General features: G+C 55.7%; 2 protein-coding genes across 2 annotated transcripts in view, besides 2 other annotated features; one reads left to right on the plus strand and one right to left on the minus strand.

Annotated features, from left to right (window-relative positions):
* HCN4 (hyperpolarization activated cyclic nucleotide gated potassium channel 4) overlaps window positions 1-6465 on the minus strand; it is a 49100-nt gene extending 42635 nt beyond the window's left edge. Inside the window, exon 1 of the mRNA NM_005477.3 lies at window positions 4993-6465. Coding sequence (NP_005468.1) covers window positions 4993-5777 — 785 coding nt within the window. The 5' untranslated portion in view covers window positions 5778-6465. The remainder of the gene's footprint in view (window positions 1-4992) is intronic.
* Window positions 435-729: a silencer, noted in NCBI's record as "tiled region #342; K562 Repressive non-DNase unmatched - State 21:Repr". NCBI's record gives its function as "represses a minimal TATA promoter and a strong SV40 promoter by Sharpr-MPRA in K562 cells {active_cell/tissue: K562}" and the evidence as "EXISTENCE:reporter gene assay evidence [ECO:0000049][PMID:27701403]".
* Window positions 11772-16024: an enhancer, noted in NCBI's record as "VISTA enhancer hs2161". NCBI's record gives its function as "enhancer in: heart[9/9]" and the evidence as "EXISTENCE:transgenic organism evidence [ECO:0001131][PMID:17130149]".
* The window catches only part of LOC124903571 (serine-aspartate repeat-containing protein I-like), a 64902-nt gene continuing 61675 nt past the window's right edge, over window positions 13597-16823 (plus strand). The window contains exons 1-2 of the mRNA XM_047433430.1: window positions 13597-13955; window positions 14045-15869. Of these exons, the coding sequence (XP_047289386.1) occupies window positions 13597-13955; window positions 14045-15869 (2184 nt within the window). The remainder of the gene's footprint in view (window positions 13956-14044; window positions 15870-16823) is intronic.

Consider the following 16823-nt stretch of genomic DNA (forward strand, 5'->3'; position numbering starts at 1 on the left):
ATCGCCGGGTGAGTCGGATGACATTACAGCAGGACAAGCTGCATTGTAACAAACACAGAGCTCCGTCCAAATGCCACAAGGTGGTCAGCCAGGAAGAGATGGATGGTGGCCAGGGTGGCCTGAGAGAGCATCCCACAAGGCCCTGGGGACACTGGGCCCTAAAGCATGGGAGAGAAGGGTGGATGGACAGGGAGACAGGTCAGCACAGTTGGAAACTCCCTATGTGAGGCAGGCAGCTACCTGGCAGCCCAAAACCCTCGAAGCTCACAGCAGCTAAGGGAACCAGTGTGGCAGGGCCAAGCAGGGGAGAAGGTAACCCCCATCCTTACCATGTAGCCACCAGACCAGGAACTTGAGCCTTGCAGCAGGGAGAACCTGGAGCCGAGGCCTCTCTAGCCAGGCAGTATGGGGATCCTGGCCCTCTGCCCCTATCGGGTTTTTGTGCACCCAGCATCCTGGAAGCACCTCGGTCCTGAGCTCCAGCAGCCCCTGCCTTGTCAGGTGGGACACATCTCATCCCCAGAGAGAGCCCTGCTGCCCACTGTGCCAGCTGATAGCACAGCCCAGGCAGCTCACCTTGGAATTCCCCTCTGCAACTAGGCACCCTTCCCCCTCCAACACAGCCTGCGGCTCCTTTCCGCCTGGCTTTGCACACTGAGAGTCCTAACAACATTCCTGGGTAATGGCCCCAGGAAAGCCCAGCAAAGAAGGGGCCTCGGAACCCCCAGACCCAGAGTCAGGCTGCTGCCTCTTCCTCCTTGCCACCTCCTGCCAGAACAGTCCTTTCCAGGATTCAAAGTGAGAAAGGTGGGAGCGGGTAGGACTGAGGAAATAGAAAAGAAACCAGTCCCAAGGGAGAACCCCTTTCCCCCCTCAGGCATCTAACTCTGAGCCCTGTTTTTGTTTCCATCCTGCTGGCAATGGGAGGCCCAAGCCCCAGATTGCAGAGGGACCCCCACTGCCAGGCTCCAGAGAAGGTGAGTGTCTGCCTCTCACCAGGCCCAGGCTCTCTTCTGGGATGGCCTAGAGAGGGGTTCACAACCTTGAGCTCCCAGATGGTCCTCAACTTAGGGGGCCACAGACACCAGAAATTAAGTGCCACACTCTATGTGTCTGGACACCCAGGTATCCTTCTGGATGGAGTAAAATGTCTGACCCCAAGAAGGTTCACAACCCCTGCTTGAGCCAAGGACAGAGGCCCTTGTGATCTTCCCAAAACCAAGGAAAGGAAGTTGTGAGGACAGGGGAGGTGTGGTTCACAACAGCATCACGGCTCCTCTGACAGCTCACTGCAGCTTCTCACCTCGGCAGGGCGACCACAGTTGTACAATTTGTGCTTGACATGGCAACAGGCAACAAGATTCCCATTTTCTAAATGGGAAAACTGGGGCTCAAATAAGGCTCATAACCCACACAGGGCTCCACAGCAGTCAGGGTTGGGGAGGTGATGGGAGGTGAGTAATGGCAGTGACGGGGTGCCAGTGACCAGCAGCAGGAAGTCGGCTCAGGACACCCCTGGGACCTGCTAGGCCACTGGCCCAGTTTCCAAGATTTTGGAGCCCAGCTCTTTCTGCCCCAAGGAAAGGACACTTTAAGCACCCCCGTCTTCCCTTCCTCATGGCTTCAGGAGGCTCAGTCTAGGAGAGGGTAGGGACAGGGGGATGAGAAAGGCCAAGCTTCTGCCTGCCTCCATTATTAAGGCTGAGCCAGCTTTGGGGGCGCAGCAGCAATCCCAGAACTGACGTTCCACACAGGGACTTCCCCACCAGCTTCCACATCCACCCACACAGCCCCCAGACACCCACTCAGACAGACACCTAGATACACACACCCAGGCTGACTCCCTGAGCCTGACCAGCTTCCAGGAACACAACCAGCTACATCTGCACTTGGGGTTCCATTTCCTTTCTCTCCTCTTAGAAAAACAAGATTAGCCAGTACCTATGTTTTTTGTTGTTGTTGTTGTTCCAGGTTCTCCAGGACACAGCTTGTGTGGAAGGAAGGACCCATCCAGGACCCAAGAGCCCAGCCAGCCTCGGGGAGGAGCCCGGGGAGCTATGTCCTGAGGGGCTGCAGCATCCTGGCCTCTTCCCTTAACACACCACAAATACAAGTTTCAAAAGGCAGATGGGGAGTTGGAGGGGAGGGGAAGCCAGAAAAGCCCAGGGAGCCTGGGGAAGCCATGGCGGTGGCCAGGGCATGGTTTCTTTTCTATTGGGGGGTGGGATCGGGGGCAGGTAGAGTAATGAGAAGCAGAGGTAGCCCAGAAAAGCCTATGATTAGCCATGGCCCAGGTTATGCTGGTCCCTCAAAGCACAGCCCACCCTTGCCCTGGAAAAGGCACCCAGCCTTCCTCCCCCAGCAATGGGAGATGCTGGAAGCAGCCCATCACAGCCAGCCCTGAACTCCAAACCGCAAACTCAATCTATCATTGTTTGCTGGCAATTCTTTATTAAACCAGTTCTGCTGGATCAATGCTTCCTGCCCGTCAAAATGATGAATAAATCCTCGACTAGCCTGAGCAATGCTTGCAGAAGCTCTTGCGAAGCCTGAGGTGGGCAATGGCGATTGGCTACACATAGAGGCCCAAGGCCAATGGCTAAAACTCTAGAGACCAAGGCTGGGGGTGCTGGTCGGGGTGCGGTGGGTTAGGTGGGGTTGGGTGGTGGGTTTTCGAAGCTTAGAAGAATTAGCTAGGCTCTTGCCTGTTTGACATTCTAAGGATGACACTAGCTGTTTTGGCCTAGAAGCAGGAAAGGTATGGCCACCGCTCCTCCAGACACACTCAGATGGTCTTTCTTGGATTTCTTTCCTTACACCCCACCCAGCTCCAGACAGCTACAAGGCTGTGCAAAGAGGACGTGCCACTTGCAGCTACCAGTCCCTGTTGCTTGTTGCACAAACCCAAATTCAAAGCCCACTCTGACCCTTTTCCTGTTGCCCATTTCACAATTCTGCTGTATCCCCGCTTCCCTATCCCCACACCCTCTCCTGCAGCCATGTCCCAGGCAGCCTGCAGTTAGTGGGAGATTCTGCAGCAGGGGGACTGCAGACAGACATACCAGAATGGGGTAAGACCAGGAAGGGGAAAAGGATCCTATCTGATGAAATCAACCCAGTCCTCACTCTCCAACTTCTAAGGTAAGGGAGATAGGAAGGGCCAGGCCCAGCATCCAGAAGGTCCCCGGCCAATGCTTGCTGCTGAGGGAGGCTGGGCATGCCTGGGGTTGGCCTCTTGTAGGCTCCCCAGGCAATGGGCTTGGTGATGAGAACCCTGAACAGATGCTTTCTGACAACAAAAACAGCAGGGACCTGGGCAAGGGAGGGGAGGGCCCTTCAGCAATCTCGAGGGGTTGGTACTGGAACTGCCTATCACCACCACTGAAGAGTTGAGAGACAGGAGGAAAAACCCAGGACACCCATGGGGGTGGAGGAGACATAGCCCCTGCTCACTCCTCTCTAGCTCGGCCCAGGATCCTCAGGGCCCAGTACTGGCCAGAGGCAAGCCCACTCTTCAGGAACCTGGCACTGGGAACCCAGACACCGTTCCTGATGGGAGGGTCCCACATTTGCTCACACAATTTGATGACTATGGCTGTCTGTTTAGCCTGCCCTCTGGTCTCCCTAGTCTTCTGGGAATGGGAACCCTGGAGATATTAGGGTTAGGAAGAGCAGTCTGTCAAAGGAAAAAAGGGGGGAGGGGCTCTGTTCACTACCTATTTTAAGCCACCGAGTGTTGTCTGACTGGTCATTCCCAGTGCGAGAAATCTCTCTCATTGGATGGAAAATGGCTTTGCTCTCATTACAAACCCAGCTTCCCTGGAGTTTGCAAAGAGGGCTCTGGGTTGGCAAAATGCTCATTTTTATAGGCAGGCAACTAAGGTAGGCAAGGAAGGGAGATAAGTAGGCGGCAGGGCCCAGAGAAAGAGAGAATGAGAGAATTAAACCCAGCTTGAAAAGTGTTTCCCAGACCTTCATCACAATCTCATGCATCACGAAAGCCCAGAGGGGCACTAGGGAACCTTAGGACCTTGACTTAGGTAAAGGCATCCCTGATCCCAACCCTAGAAACAACCAACAATCCCTCTTTTTGCACAAATATGCCCACAAGCTCCCAGTGGTATCTGCTGTTCAGTGGCATCCGACTCAAGTGATGTGGAAGGGGGCAGGGTCCCTCTCCCTGACTGGCAGTCATACCTTGTTTGGGGACCCACGAGTGGCCCATGAGAGACCAAGCAGATGCTGGAGCTTGGGTCTCTGGGGTATGGATGGGCCACTGGACAAGCATGGGACACAGGACAGCTGCTCATCAGTCAGAACACCAGGCATCTTCACCCATCACTATGAGCAAGGTCATTCAGCCCTGCCGCTCTGGATGCCAGCTGCCCAGGGTGCCTGCTCTTGGCCCACCACTCAGCATGAGGAGCTGAGCTCAGGGTTACGGTGGGTGCAGGGGGTTTTCATCCCGGCCTGAGGCCCCAGTGACTTCGGTCCTCCAGGGACCCGGCCGCAGCTTCCCAGGGCACCAGAAAGCAGACATAAATGCCTGCTGTCAGCACCCAAGGAGCTGGCCCGTTGCTAAGAGGTCTGTCTCTCTTCACGGCCCTGCTCTGCAGGCTGAATGACCCGGAGCTGCCTCTAGGATGGCCATCCTGACTCTGCAGCCTTGAAGGGGGAGGAGGAATATGTGGCTTAAGGTGGCAGAGCCCTATCCTGGCTGCCGGCAGGGGTAGGCCAGGCTCAGAACACCTTTTCATTCTGTCTCCAATGCAGCCCAGACCCGAGAAGACCAGTGACTGAACCCAGAGGAAAGTTCCCCCAGCGCGGTGCAGGAGGGGGCCTGGGGGTGTCTCGGAGCCTAGAGGCGCCCTGCCTCTCTTGGAGCTCCCAGCGCAAGGCAGGAAAGTTAACTCCGGCTGGGAGGCAGGGTCAGGAGGAGGCATGCCTGCCACCGCGCAGGGCACCCACAGGATCATCGCTGTGGCCCCTTACCTGAAGTCACTGTAGGGGTGGATAATCCAAAATCCGGCCGACTTGACCCTCTCCTGTTCGCGCTCCACGGCTTTCTGGCTGCCGAACATCCTTAGGGAGAATTTGTTGACCCCGGGTTGGAGCATGGCCCCGAACTGGCGCTGCATGAAGCCGGCCTGGCCCAGGCGCACCTCGGCCTCCGGGAGGATCTGGTCGCCGGCAGCCGCGCCTCCCTCCACTTTGATAGCGGTGTCCACCGAGGGCTGCTCGCAGGAGGCGGAGGCCGGCTGCGGTGGCTGCTGGGGCGGCGGCGGCGAGGCTGCGGGCTGCGCCGAGGCGCCGGGGCGCTCGGGCTCGGCCGCCAGGCCTGGGGGCGTCCTGTCCTCGCCGGGGGACGCGTCGCCCTCGGCGATGAGCCGCCGCTCCTCCGCGGAGTCATGCAGGTGTCCGTGACTGCTGCCGCTCCCCGTGCCGCCGCTGCCGCCGCCCCGGCTGCCCAGCGAGGCCAGGCTCCCGCGGAAGCGCCTGCAGTCGCCGTTCGTGCTGGACTTGCCCGCGCCGCGGGCCGGCCCTTCGCTGTCCGCTGCCCCGAGGGCCGAGCTCCGGGACTCCGTGCCACCCGCGGCCGCCGAGGGGGAGGGCGAGGGCAGTGGCCGCAGCCGGATGCTCCTGCGGCTGGGGTCTTGGCGGCCCCCGGCCCCCTCCTCCTCGGCGTCCTCTTCCTCGTCCATGATCCACGCCTTGGCCCCCACCTGCTGCGGGAGGCTGTAGAGCCGCTTGCGCATGGACGGCGGCAGCTTGTCCATGGCGCCAGGGGCCGGGGTCGGACCGGGCCGGGGGCAGGAGCGCGGCGCCGCGGACGGGCTCCAGGTCCGCCCGCCGGTCAGTCCGCCCGTGGGGACGCGTCCTTTGCCGCCGGCGTGGGGGCAGCCTCAGGCGCCCATGCTTGGGCAGGCTGCGCGCCGCGGGGAGGATCCTAGTCCCGCTCCGAGTCCCCGGGCTCGCCGCGCTACACCTCCTCCCGGGCCCGGCTGGGCGCGGGGACCCCGCGCTCCCTTCTTGCCTCCCTCCCTCCCTCTGGCGTTCAGGGGCGCGGCGCGCCGCCCGGCTCCAGGCGCCCCGCCCCCGCGGGGAACAATGGGCGCCGGCCGGAGAGGCTCTGCGGCCGCGGCGCTCAGGGAACCGCTCCGGAGTGCAGAGCGCACGGCCCGCGCGGGTCCCGGGCGTGCGTCCCGCGGGAGGGCTGGCTGTCCGTCTGTCTCGCCGCCCGGGCTTTGTGGCTGGCCACCCGCGAGCTCGCCTCGCCTCCTCTGCCCCGGCCCGTCCGGCCCGTCCCGGGGCTCCCGCCGCAACCGAGCGGAGCCCAGCGACCCGCCGGGCTTACATCAGCGGCCGCCTCCCCCGAAGCGCCCTCCGGCAGCGCTCGGGCTCCCGCGCCCCGGAATATTCATGAAGCCGCCGCAGCTCGCGGGTTGCCATAGGAGCGGCTCCAGCAGCCGGGCCTGCCTACCTGGGCTTCTTAAAGGGGCAGCGGCGCACGGGCCGGGGGCTGGAAAGGGGCGGGGGGCGGGCCTGGCAAGGGGCCCAGGTTAGACCCTCGCTAGACCTTCGGGGCCGGGGTGAGAGGTATCCACACTGCTGCGCCCTTAAATCTCTTTCCTGGGCTAAGCTGGGAGTGCGCCCCAAGTCTGAAGCTCCGGCTTCAGTTGCGAATTCCCCATCCTAAGATTGAAGGGTGGGGGGTGGCTTCCCAATTTCTCCATCACCAAGCTCTGGGCTCGCCTTTCCCTGGCATTTTTGCCCCTCAGCTGGGTCTCCGACTTTCCTCTTGGGAGGCGACCGGGTTCGTCTGGATGCAGAGTCCCGGCCTTCCCGCAACCCTCCTGGAGAGGGGGCTTCCGGAAATGCGCCGCGTCGGGGAGGCTCCCACGGTTTTCCTGTGACATGGGCAGGGTGCGAACCCCGCGCCAGTCTTTCCCCTGCAAAGCCTCGCAGCAGCCAGGCAAGGAGGGCGTGGGGAAACAGGGAGACACGCACAGGGCGCGCGGGTGGGACCCAGCCCTTCGAGGTAAGACTTCGAGGAAATGCGCCGGCAACAGTGACGGATGCGAGATCCGAACGCCGACCTCCGCACGCGCCTCTCCCTCGGTAGTTCCGAGAAAGGGACAAGCCGGCTGCAGCGGGGAGCGGTTGGGCCGGTTCCTCGGACGCCCCAGCACTCTGGAACTGGCTTTGGAGCCCCTTCTCCCTGTGTTCCCATCCACATTATGACACCTACTATGTGGACCCACGCTGGGTGAGTTCCTGTTCCACCCAGTCCCCTACCTGCACCCCCAAGCAGCTGCACAGCCCCCACTCCCTTCCAGTCTGCAGCCCAGCCCCCTTCCCCCCAACCCCCGCCAAGGATCCAACTGTGTGTCCTCTCTCCCAGTCTCTCCCAGTGTACAGTGTCCGGGCTTATGGACAGATTTCACTAGCTCAGCCTAAGGTATAGCCCTACCCCCTCCAACACCATGGACAGCCTGATACCCCAGATTAGCTCAGAAATGGATAGGGGGACAGATTGGGCATTAAGGGGAGGGGAGTTGTCCAGAGAAGGCTGGAGCCGAGGTTAATGCTGGAGCGGACACACAGCAAAGTCTCACAGGAGGGAGGCAAAAAGGTCCCCTGGCTCTGCCATCTCTCTGAGGAATAACATCAAGTTTTTCTTCAAATGATTTTTTTACTCTCATTCTTAGCCCAATGTGACCACTTTCGCCTCCTCCATCCAGAGTAGGAATTTGGAGAGCAGGATGCGGGGCGGGCAGCCTAGCAGGGGCTCTTCTGCTCTACCCACTGGACCACAGGACCTCCCACAGTGAGAGGAATGACTAGGGTGATGACATCACTGGTAGCTGGCATTTTTACTTTTGAGCAGCTCTGAGCTGACAGTTCTCTGCACAGATGCTGGAAGCCTAATCCCTGAGTGTCCTTGGGTCTCCTTGAGAAGAAGTGTTCTTAAAGAGCTGTGAGCCCAGCCTGCCCTGGTCTACCAGCCACAGGAGGGAAGACCTCCATTTAACACACTTCTTTGAGCTTCTTTGTCTAGCTGGGAGTTAGTCTGCCTTAACCCCGCTCAGGAAGTCAGCCCATATAGGCTTCCCCATGACCTATGGTAGAGACATCTCCTCCTCTGGGAACCCTTTCCTAATCACCAAAACCTTGGTCATGTCCCTGCCTTTGGTTCCCATGGCCCATTAGCTCCTGTGACCCTGAGCACTGATTACACAGTGCAGTCTGTGCCCTGAGGGTGGAGCAGGTCCACCTTATCTCAGGGACCTCTCCACCAACACAAGGGTGGACAGAAAGCAGATTAATAAGTTTCAACTCTACAAATGAGTGAGGGACCCTAGAAGTTAGCTAATGGCATTGGAGGGGATGCTTGGAGGAGATGGAGGATAAGACCAAAATTCTGCTTCCTGGGATACTGCTGCCACAGGCCGGCCAGGGGTCAGGATCTCTTAATTCCACCCTACCAGCACCTCACTCGCCCTCAATTTCATTAGTGGCACCCATTCACGACCATCTAGGACCAACTTTAGGTGCAGCAATGACTATTAGATAAATCAGGCCCTTGATAAACCCTGATGAGATCTGGCTTCTCCTGCCTCCTTTATGTGGAAACCCTAATGGAGGACACTGGTGGTGTGCCAACAGTCCAGGGGACAGAGGAGGAGCAGCCCCAGGTCTTGCCCTTGATGGGCTTCAAGTTGTGAGGAAGCTAGACTCATTCTCAGGAATAGGGCATGAAAATAGAGCAGGAAAACTGAAGACAGGAAAGAAATGTATATTAAATCATGTCCCCAACCATGAGAGATTTCAGAGGGAGCTATTGCTGGCCTTGGAGTAGCTAGGGAGGGTTTCCTGGAGGAGGGGGCCAGACTTGATGAGAGACATATATCTAACACTTTACAGTTTACACCTTTTTGTTGTTAAACCACATGAAATTTTGATTTTTGTGAGCCCAATATTGTCAAATTTTGGCAATTTCACGTGAGTCAACCTGACATTCTTACTCCCATTTGCAGGCAAGAGAACTAAAGCACAGAGAGGTCAAGAGGCTTGCCAAATGCCCCATAGCAAGAAAATGGTGAAGCTAGAATTCAAGGGCTCCACAGGGCAGGCTGTGCTCTACTGCCCATCTGCTCATGCAGGTGGGGTAGGGGGCAGGCACAGATGGAGGAAGGAGAAGGAGAGAGAAGGTAAAGAATGGGGAGAGAATAAATAGGACTCCCACATTCTGTAATCTCCCCATTGCTCCACCTGGGTCTCACACCCTCTCCTTTCCAGCACTGCCTAGAAGGCCTGGGGTCTGCTCTGGTTCCTTTGATAACATGGTAGCCAGGCCCTGGGGACCCCAGCAAGGGGAAGGCCCTGTCTCAGGACTGAAATATATGGAGAAGACCTGCTGCTCTCACCATGGGTGGGGGACTAGGGGACTTTGGAGACAAATGGGCTGCTGCAGTGCTGCAGCGGGCCTGGATATTCCTGGAATGCAAATGTAGAAAACATCTGAGTCTAAGAGAGAAGGGGACTGGGGAGGATGGGTTTCCTTCCCTGGAACGGACACTGAATATCAGTGAAAGTTAGAAGACCTGCTGGGAGTAGAAGTGGAGAATGTAGCTGATTGTATAAATCAACCTCAGACCTTATTTGTGGGGGACCTAGATGGGCAGAGGGGGATGGGAAATTCTGGAAGCTTATTTGCTTATGGGCAGAGGGCATTGTTCTTGCTTGGAGAGGCAGCTCTGGGGTAGGGCAGTGGCTCCCACAGCCTGCAATGCCAAAGTTTTGGCCAGTTCTGCTTGAAATGAGATGAAAACACACACACACACACACACACACACACACACACACACACACACACACACACAGAACAATGTAGGATATTTTAGGTTAAGGTTGCCAACTGTCCTTTCTTAGAAGGCTGTCTTTATTCTAAGGTTATATCCTTGCTACATTCTCTGTGTTAAAATGCCCTTTTATGAAATCATGGTGCTGGAAGATGCTGTTTTTTCAATGTCGTTGGCTAAATAAAAAGTTGGCACTGGGTTCTGTGTTTGTTCCGAAAAATCATTTTTGAAATGTTATTGATCTATAAGTTCCAAAAGTCTGGGAACCCCTGTTGTAAACAATAGAGCATGAAACTGAAAAACAAAAGCTGGAGAATTAAGTACTTCTCTGTCAGTTACTGCCTGTGTATGCCTCGATCTTCCTCGTGTGTAAAATGGGTTTAATGATATGCACCTCAAAAGTTATTGCTAAGACTACATGAGAAAATGAATGCACCTAGCATAGCATCTCATTTGTAGTAAGTTCTCAGTAAACACTGAATGATGAAATGATGGAATGAAACCTGCATTACCCAATGGAGAGGAAGGCTCCTGGCCTTTGGAATCCAATTTAGGTCATATCATCTTAAAACTTTCTGTTGGGATGAAAGGGATGTTTTATACAAGATTCCTTCCTTTGAACTCTCCATCCCTGACAAGCCCTGGCTGGGTCTCCAGAAGGCAGACTTCCTTCTCTCTGGGACAGGACCTTGCTGTGGCCCCAAGCTCTACAGCAAGCTTGTTCAACCCGCAGCCCACAGACCACATGCAGCCCAGGACAGCTTTGAATGCAGCCCAACACAAACTTGTAAACTTTCTTAAAACATTATGAGATTTTTTTGCGATTTTTTTAGCTCATCAGCTATTGTTAATGTTAGTATATTTTATGTGTGGCCCAAGACAATTCTTCTTCCTCCAGTGTGGCCCAGGGAAGCCAAAAGATTGGACACCCCTGCTATATAGGCAGCTGCTAACTCAGAGGGCCACATCGTTGACCCTGTGCTCAAAACCCTCTGAGAAGGCTGGGGGTGGTGGCAAGTGGTATCCATACATACATGCCACTTCATCTTTTTGCTCAGTGTAGATACAGTCCTGCACTTCTGCTCTGCCCCAAGGCAGGTCTGCTCTGTAGGGCTGGACAGGGATCAGGGACATATAGACTTCCTGCTGGGAGTCCTGACCTGGAGACAAGGCCTCCAAGAAAGAATACTGGAATCAGCACCATGCCCTCAGGTTTTCTGTCCTGAGGCTTCCTGATAAAGAAGCTGGAAAAAAAAAAGAAAGAAAGAAAGAAAGAGAGAGAGGGAGGGAGGGAGGGAGGCAGGGGGAGAGAGAGAGAGAGAGAGAGGGAGGGAGGGAGGGAGAGAGAGAGATAGAGAGAGAGAAAGAAAGAAAGAAAGAAAGAAAGAAAGAAAGAAAGAAAGAAAGAAAGAAAGAAAGAAAAAGAAACTAAGAAACTGGAAGGGTGGAAGGGGAGGGGACATGCAGGGAGCAACCAGACTGGATATAGATGTTCCGGGAAACAAACCAACCAGCCAGAGTTGACCAAGCCCTTGGGTGCCCAACCCTGTGCACAGCTACACATGGATGGAGGCCAAGAAGGCAGAGATATGCCCTAGCTTGGGCGATACCTGGTCTGGTCAAAGCAGCAAAAGATCATCCCAGAGGTTTGTAATCAAGAGTCAAAGGGAGTGGTTCAGAAGCTCAGGGCAATGATCCTCTTGAGTAGAGTCAAGTTGGGTTCCCTGGAGGAAATGGAAAGTGGTTAGTGTGTGTGTGTGTGTGTGTGTGTGTGTGTGTGTGTGTGTGTGGATGTGTGCACGCGCACATGCTTATTATGGAGGAAAGAGTGAATGGAGTAGCCGGGCATGGATAAGGCCTGCAGCATTCTCACAGTGGGGTCATCAAGGATAGAGCTGGGGGCAGGTGTTCAATTCACCTGCAACAGCCTTTGCCCTAAGCTAGCCCTGAGAGAAAGTCCTGCTGTATTATACTCAGTCCTTCTGGTCCCCCTCCTCCCAGTACCCTCAACCCCAGTAGGTGACACTTGCTACAAAAAAGCACTGGGAGCCCACATGCCCATCACATCAAGGTGTTAGTGAACAAGAGACCCCCTATAGGCTCAACTTCCTATTGGGCTTGCCATCTGCTTTCTCTTCAGTTCTGCCTGGTTTCTTTAGGATCTAGGAGCATGAGCTATTGTATTGTCCTCTTCTCTATCCCCTGCCTCTGTGCAGGACTCCACCTGTGAGCCCCTGGACCCCAGCAGAGCCCAAAGCCCTTTCATCTCTAGGCCAGCCCCAGCTGCATTGCCCTTGATCTGTCTACTCCACACCAACCCGGATGCTCGACTGTTCCCTGGGGACTCTGCCAGGGCACTGGGTGGGACCTCTTCCCCCTCCCACCTCGGGGAGCCTGGAGGAAGATGTGCTGACAGCTCAGCCAGGTCTGGACTGTGTCTCTGTGTCCTTCTGGGGCTCCAGGACGTCTGGGCCACCTGGACTCAGAGCCAGGCCAGAGAGGGAGGCACTGGGAGGGGGAGGCCCTGAGGTGCCAGCTGAGCAGAGCTGCCAAGAAATAAGTACCACAGACTCCTCTGTTCGAAGTCTGGAATTCACGATATATCAGGGATGAAGTGGGTTCAGACAGGGGCCTCTGGGGTGGTTTCACAGCTTGGGCTGGAGGCGCCAGGAAGGGAAAGAAGGAAGAGACAGAATGGACTGGGAGAGGGGGGAAGAGACTCTGAAAATGGGGCTGGGTGCGGTGGTAGAAAGAGAGGTGGTGGACAGCTGGAGAGTTGGGGCTTTTCCTGGGACCCTGAGATGGCCCAGGGACTGGACTTGGCTCAGTCCCCCACTAACACTGGGCTCCTCCGCTCCACCCAGCCTTGCCCAGGCAGTCCTCCCTGCCATGCCCTCAGTCCTCTCCCCGACTTATCTATGTTTTCTTCCTCCCCCAATTTCACATGATCCCTTTTCTCTGTTCAACGTGTGGAGTACCTGTTATCTGATGCTACATGACCCAGTCCCTAATCTCCAGGCATCTCCAGGCTATGGCAAGGATAAGACAGACTCAAGACTTCACATAAGGAAGCCAGGGACGAGGAGCACGTGATGTGGACAAGAGGCTAGAGGGCCGAGGGGGGAGGAGGAAAAGCGTGAGGAGGGAGCAGGGGAGATGCTCATGTCTGAAGTAGTTTTGATGCAAGCAGGTGTGACTTGTAGAAGTGGAGGCAGGGAGGTGGGGCACGCCAGGTGCAGGGCCCAGTGTGAGCAGGAGAGCAGCAAAGGGAAGCCCCTGCCCTGGAGTGGGTGAGCACCCTGGGAGACCACAGTCCTGGGGGGTCAAGGAGTGGGGAACGCGAGGACATGAGGGTGGGTGGCTCTGGAAGCCGTGAGGAATGCTGAGGGCGACTGGAGACAGGCTTTTGCGAGGACCATTGGGTTGTGCCCTGGGAGCCCAGCGCTGTGCTCAGCTCTGCTCAGAGCGAGCAGGAAAAGAACAAGACACAGTCCCTGCCCCTGGAAGCTCACAGTGGGGTGGCGAAGATGAAAGTAATGCTGTGAAACAAGTCATCCTGCCAGAAGCAGGGGCCTGGACCCCTGACTGCTACAGGGACAGGGACTGAGCAACAGCCAGGCTGGAGTTTAAGAGAGCTGCTCTCTCTGGTTCCCTGCAAAGCACATCTTTGTACAAGCCCCAAGGCCCAGCCTCCCTCCCACAAGCCCCATGCCTCAGGGTAACCTGCTATTACATGAGCCTTCTGCTGGATGCCTTCCAGAAAGAGACACTCCACTGTGTAATGAGAGCTGTGCCCCAGGCCACCCTGCAGGATCCAGAGAAGAGGCAGAGCCAGGGAGAGGGCAATGGAGACTGCCACATAATCTATGACAGATGTGGTGACAGGGGCTGTCATGGAGGCTGTGACAGAGACTGCGGTGTGGACTGTGATACACACCGTGACAAGGTCTGTGATACAGACTGTGACAGGGACTATGACAGAGGCCGTGATAGAGACTGTGACAGGGGCTGTGACAGAGACTCTAACAGACGCTGTGATAGAGACTGTGACAGAGACTGTGATAGAGGCTGTGATAGATACTGTGACAGGCTGTGATAGAGGCTGTGACAGGGGCTGTGACAGAGGTTGTGATAGAGGCTGTGACAGGCTGTGATAGAGACTGTAATACACACTGTGATAGAGGCTGTGATAGAGACTGTGATAGAGACTGTGACAGAGACTGTGACAGAGGCTGTGATAGAGGCTGTGACAGAGGCTGTGACAGAGGCTGTGACAGAGACTGTGATAGAGGCTGTGACAGAGGCTGTGACAGAGACTGTGATAGAGGCTGTGACAGAGGCTGTGACAGAGGCTGTGACAGAGGCTGTGGTAGAGGCTGTGACAGAGACTGTGACAGAGGCTGTGACAGAGGCTGTGATAGATACTGTGACAGAGGCTGTGATAGAGACTGTAATGCAGACTGTGATAGAGGCTGTGATAGAGGCTGTGATAGAGACTGTGATAGAGGCTGTGACAGAGGCTGTGATAGAGGCTGTGAGAGAGGCTGTGACAGAGGCTGTGATAGAGACTGTGATAGAGGCTGTGACAGAGGCTGTGATAGAGACTGTGACAGGGGCTGTGACAGAGGCTGTGATAGAGACTGTGATAGAGGCTGTGACAGATGCTGTGACAGAGGCTGTGATAGAGGCTGTGATAGAGGCTGTGACAGAGGCTGTGACAGAGACTGTGATAGAGGCTGTGGTAGAGGCTGTGGTAGAGGCTGTGACAGAGGCTGTGACAGAGACTGTGACAGAGGCTGTGACAGAGGCTGTGATAGATACTGTGACAGAGGCTGTGATAGAGACTGTAATACAGACTGTGATAGAGGCTGTGATAGAGGCTGTGATAGAGACTGTGATAGAGGCTGTGATACAGACTGTGACAGAGGCTGTGATAGAGGCTGTGACAGAGACTGTGACAGAGGCCGTGACAGAGGCTGTGATAGAGGCTGTGACAGAGACTGTGATAGAGGCTGTGACAGAGGCTGTGACAGAGGTTGTGATAGAGGCTGTGACAGAGGCTGTGACAGAGGCTGTGATAGAGGCTGTGACAGAGGCTGTGACAGAGGCTGTGACAGAGACTGTGATAGAGGCTGTGACAGAGGCTGTGATAGAGGCTGTGACAGAGGCTGTGACAGAGGCTGTGACAGAGGCTGTGATAGAGACTGTGACAGGGGCTGCGACAGAGGCTGTGATAGAGGCTGCGACAGAGGCCGTGATAGAGGCTGTGATAGAGGCTGTGACAGAGGCTGTGATAGAGGCTGTGACAGAGGCTGTGACAGAGGCTGTGATAGAGGCTGTGACAGAGGCTGTGATAGAGGCTGTGACAGAGGCTGTGACAGAGACTGTGACAGGGACTGTGACAGAGGCTGTGAGAGAGGCTGTGACAGAGGCTGTGACAGAGGCTGTGATAGAGACTGTGACAGGGGCTGTGACAGAGGCTGTGACAGAGGCTGTGACAGAGGCTGTGATAGAGGCTGTGACAGAGGCTGTGACAGAGACTGCAACAGAGACTGTGAGAGAGGCTGTGACAGAGGCTGTGATAGAGGCTGTGACAGGGGCTGTGACAGAGACTGTGATAGAGGCTGTGACAGGGGCTGTGATAGAGGCTGTGACAGAGGCTGTGACAAGGGCTGTGACAAGGGCTGTGACAGAGACTCTGACAGCGACTGTAACAGGAATTGTGACAGGGGCTGTGACAGAGGCTGTGTTAGAGGCTGGGACAGAGACTCTGACAGGGACAGGGACAGGCACTGCGATGGGGACTGGGACAGAAATGTGACTAAATCTGGAACCACAATCAGAGTTGGGACAACAGTTCCTGGAGCCCGGGCCCACACTCCCACGGTCGACAGAGCAGTTGGCGGTGACAGCAGCAACACAGCAAACACAGAGGCCCAGCCAGGCCCAGGCATTTGTGGGGACGCCAGCAGGCTGAAGCTGCCGCGGGAAGACAGCGAGAGGGAGGTGAGTGAGGCTGGCGCCCACCCAGCTCTGCCTCGGATGTCTGTGTGTCCACAGGCGAGTTCCTGGCCCTCTCTGGGCCTCAGTTTCCTTGATAGTGCTTACCATGGGGACAGATCAGATTAGAGTGTGGTAAGTGCAAACGTGCACTGACTGAGGGTCCCAAGTTACTCTCAGGGGTCTCTGAATCTCCAGAGTCTCCCCAGGCACAGCCAGCTGATTGAATCCGTAATGCGCCTCCCACACATATGAACAACCATCTACCCCATGTGTGCAGTGCTCTTGTGAAGAACGAAACACAAATTTGTTTTAAAATGTAAGATAATTCATAGTCATGATCGTAACTAACATTTATGGAGCACTTGCTCTGCGCAAGGTACCACACCAAATACTTAGCATGGATTAGCTCATGTAATCCTCACTAGAGCTCTGTCAGGTAAGTGGTATTTTCCCCATTTTACAGATGATTAAACTGAGGCTTAAAGAGGCTGACCGAGTTGCCCAAGTTCCCAAGGCTAGAGGAAGAGCCAGGGTTTGAAGACACTTCTGTCTGACCCAGTCTGGGCTCCTATCCTCACTCACCATGAGCAACTCTCTTAATCACAACTGCTATTGTGTCAGATACACTTGAAGTTCAAAGTCAAAAATGTTTTCATTGAAAAAGGGGTCTTCACACTTGAATTGGCTGGGACCTACCGGGAAGCGTTCCTTCAGTGCGTGGGCACTTCTGGTATTTCTGGAACTCTATCTTCTCTCTGCCCCTGCCTGAGGCACTAAGTTGGGGATAAGCAGGATATGATTTTCTGCCCTAAGAGAGCACAGAATAGCTGTAACGATTTCAAGGACTGTGTTTGTTTTTGCACCTTGTGCTCAGGATCTCACTTTGAGCTGTGCAGAGAAGGCCCTCACACCCTGCTGTCCTTGAGGGTTGGATCCTCATTCTCCCAGATGCTCCTT

This window comes from Homo sapiens, chromosome 15, assembly GCF_000001405.40.
Source record: "Homo sapiens chromosome 15, GRCh38.p14 Primary Assembly".
NCBI classification, from domain to species: Eukaryota; Metazoa; Chordata; class Mammalia; order Primates; family Hominidae; genus Homo; species Homo sapiens.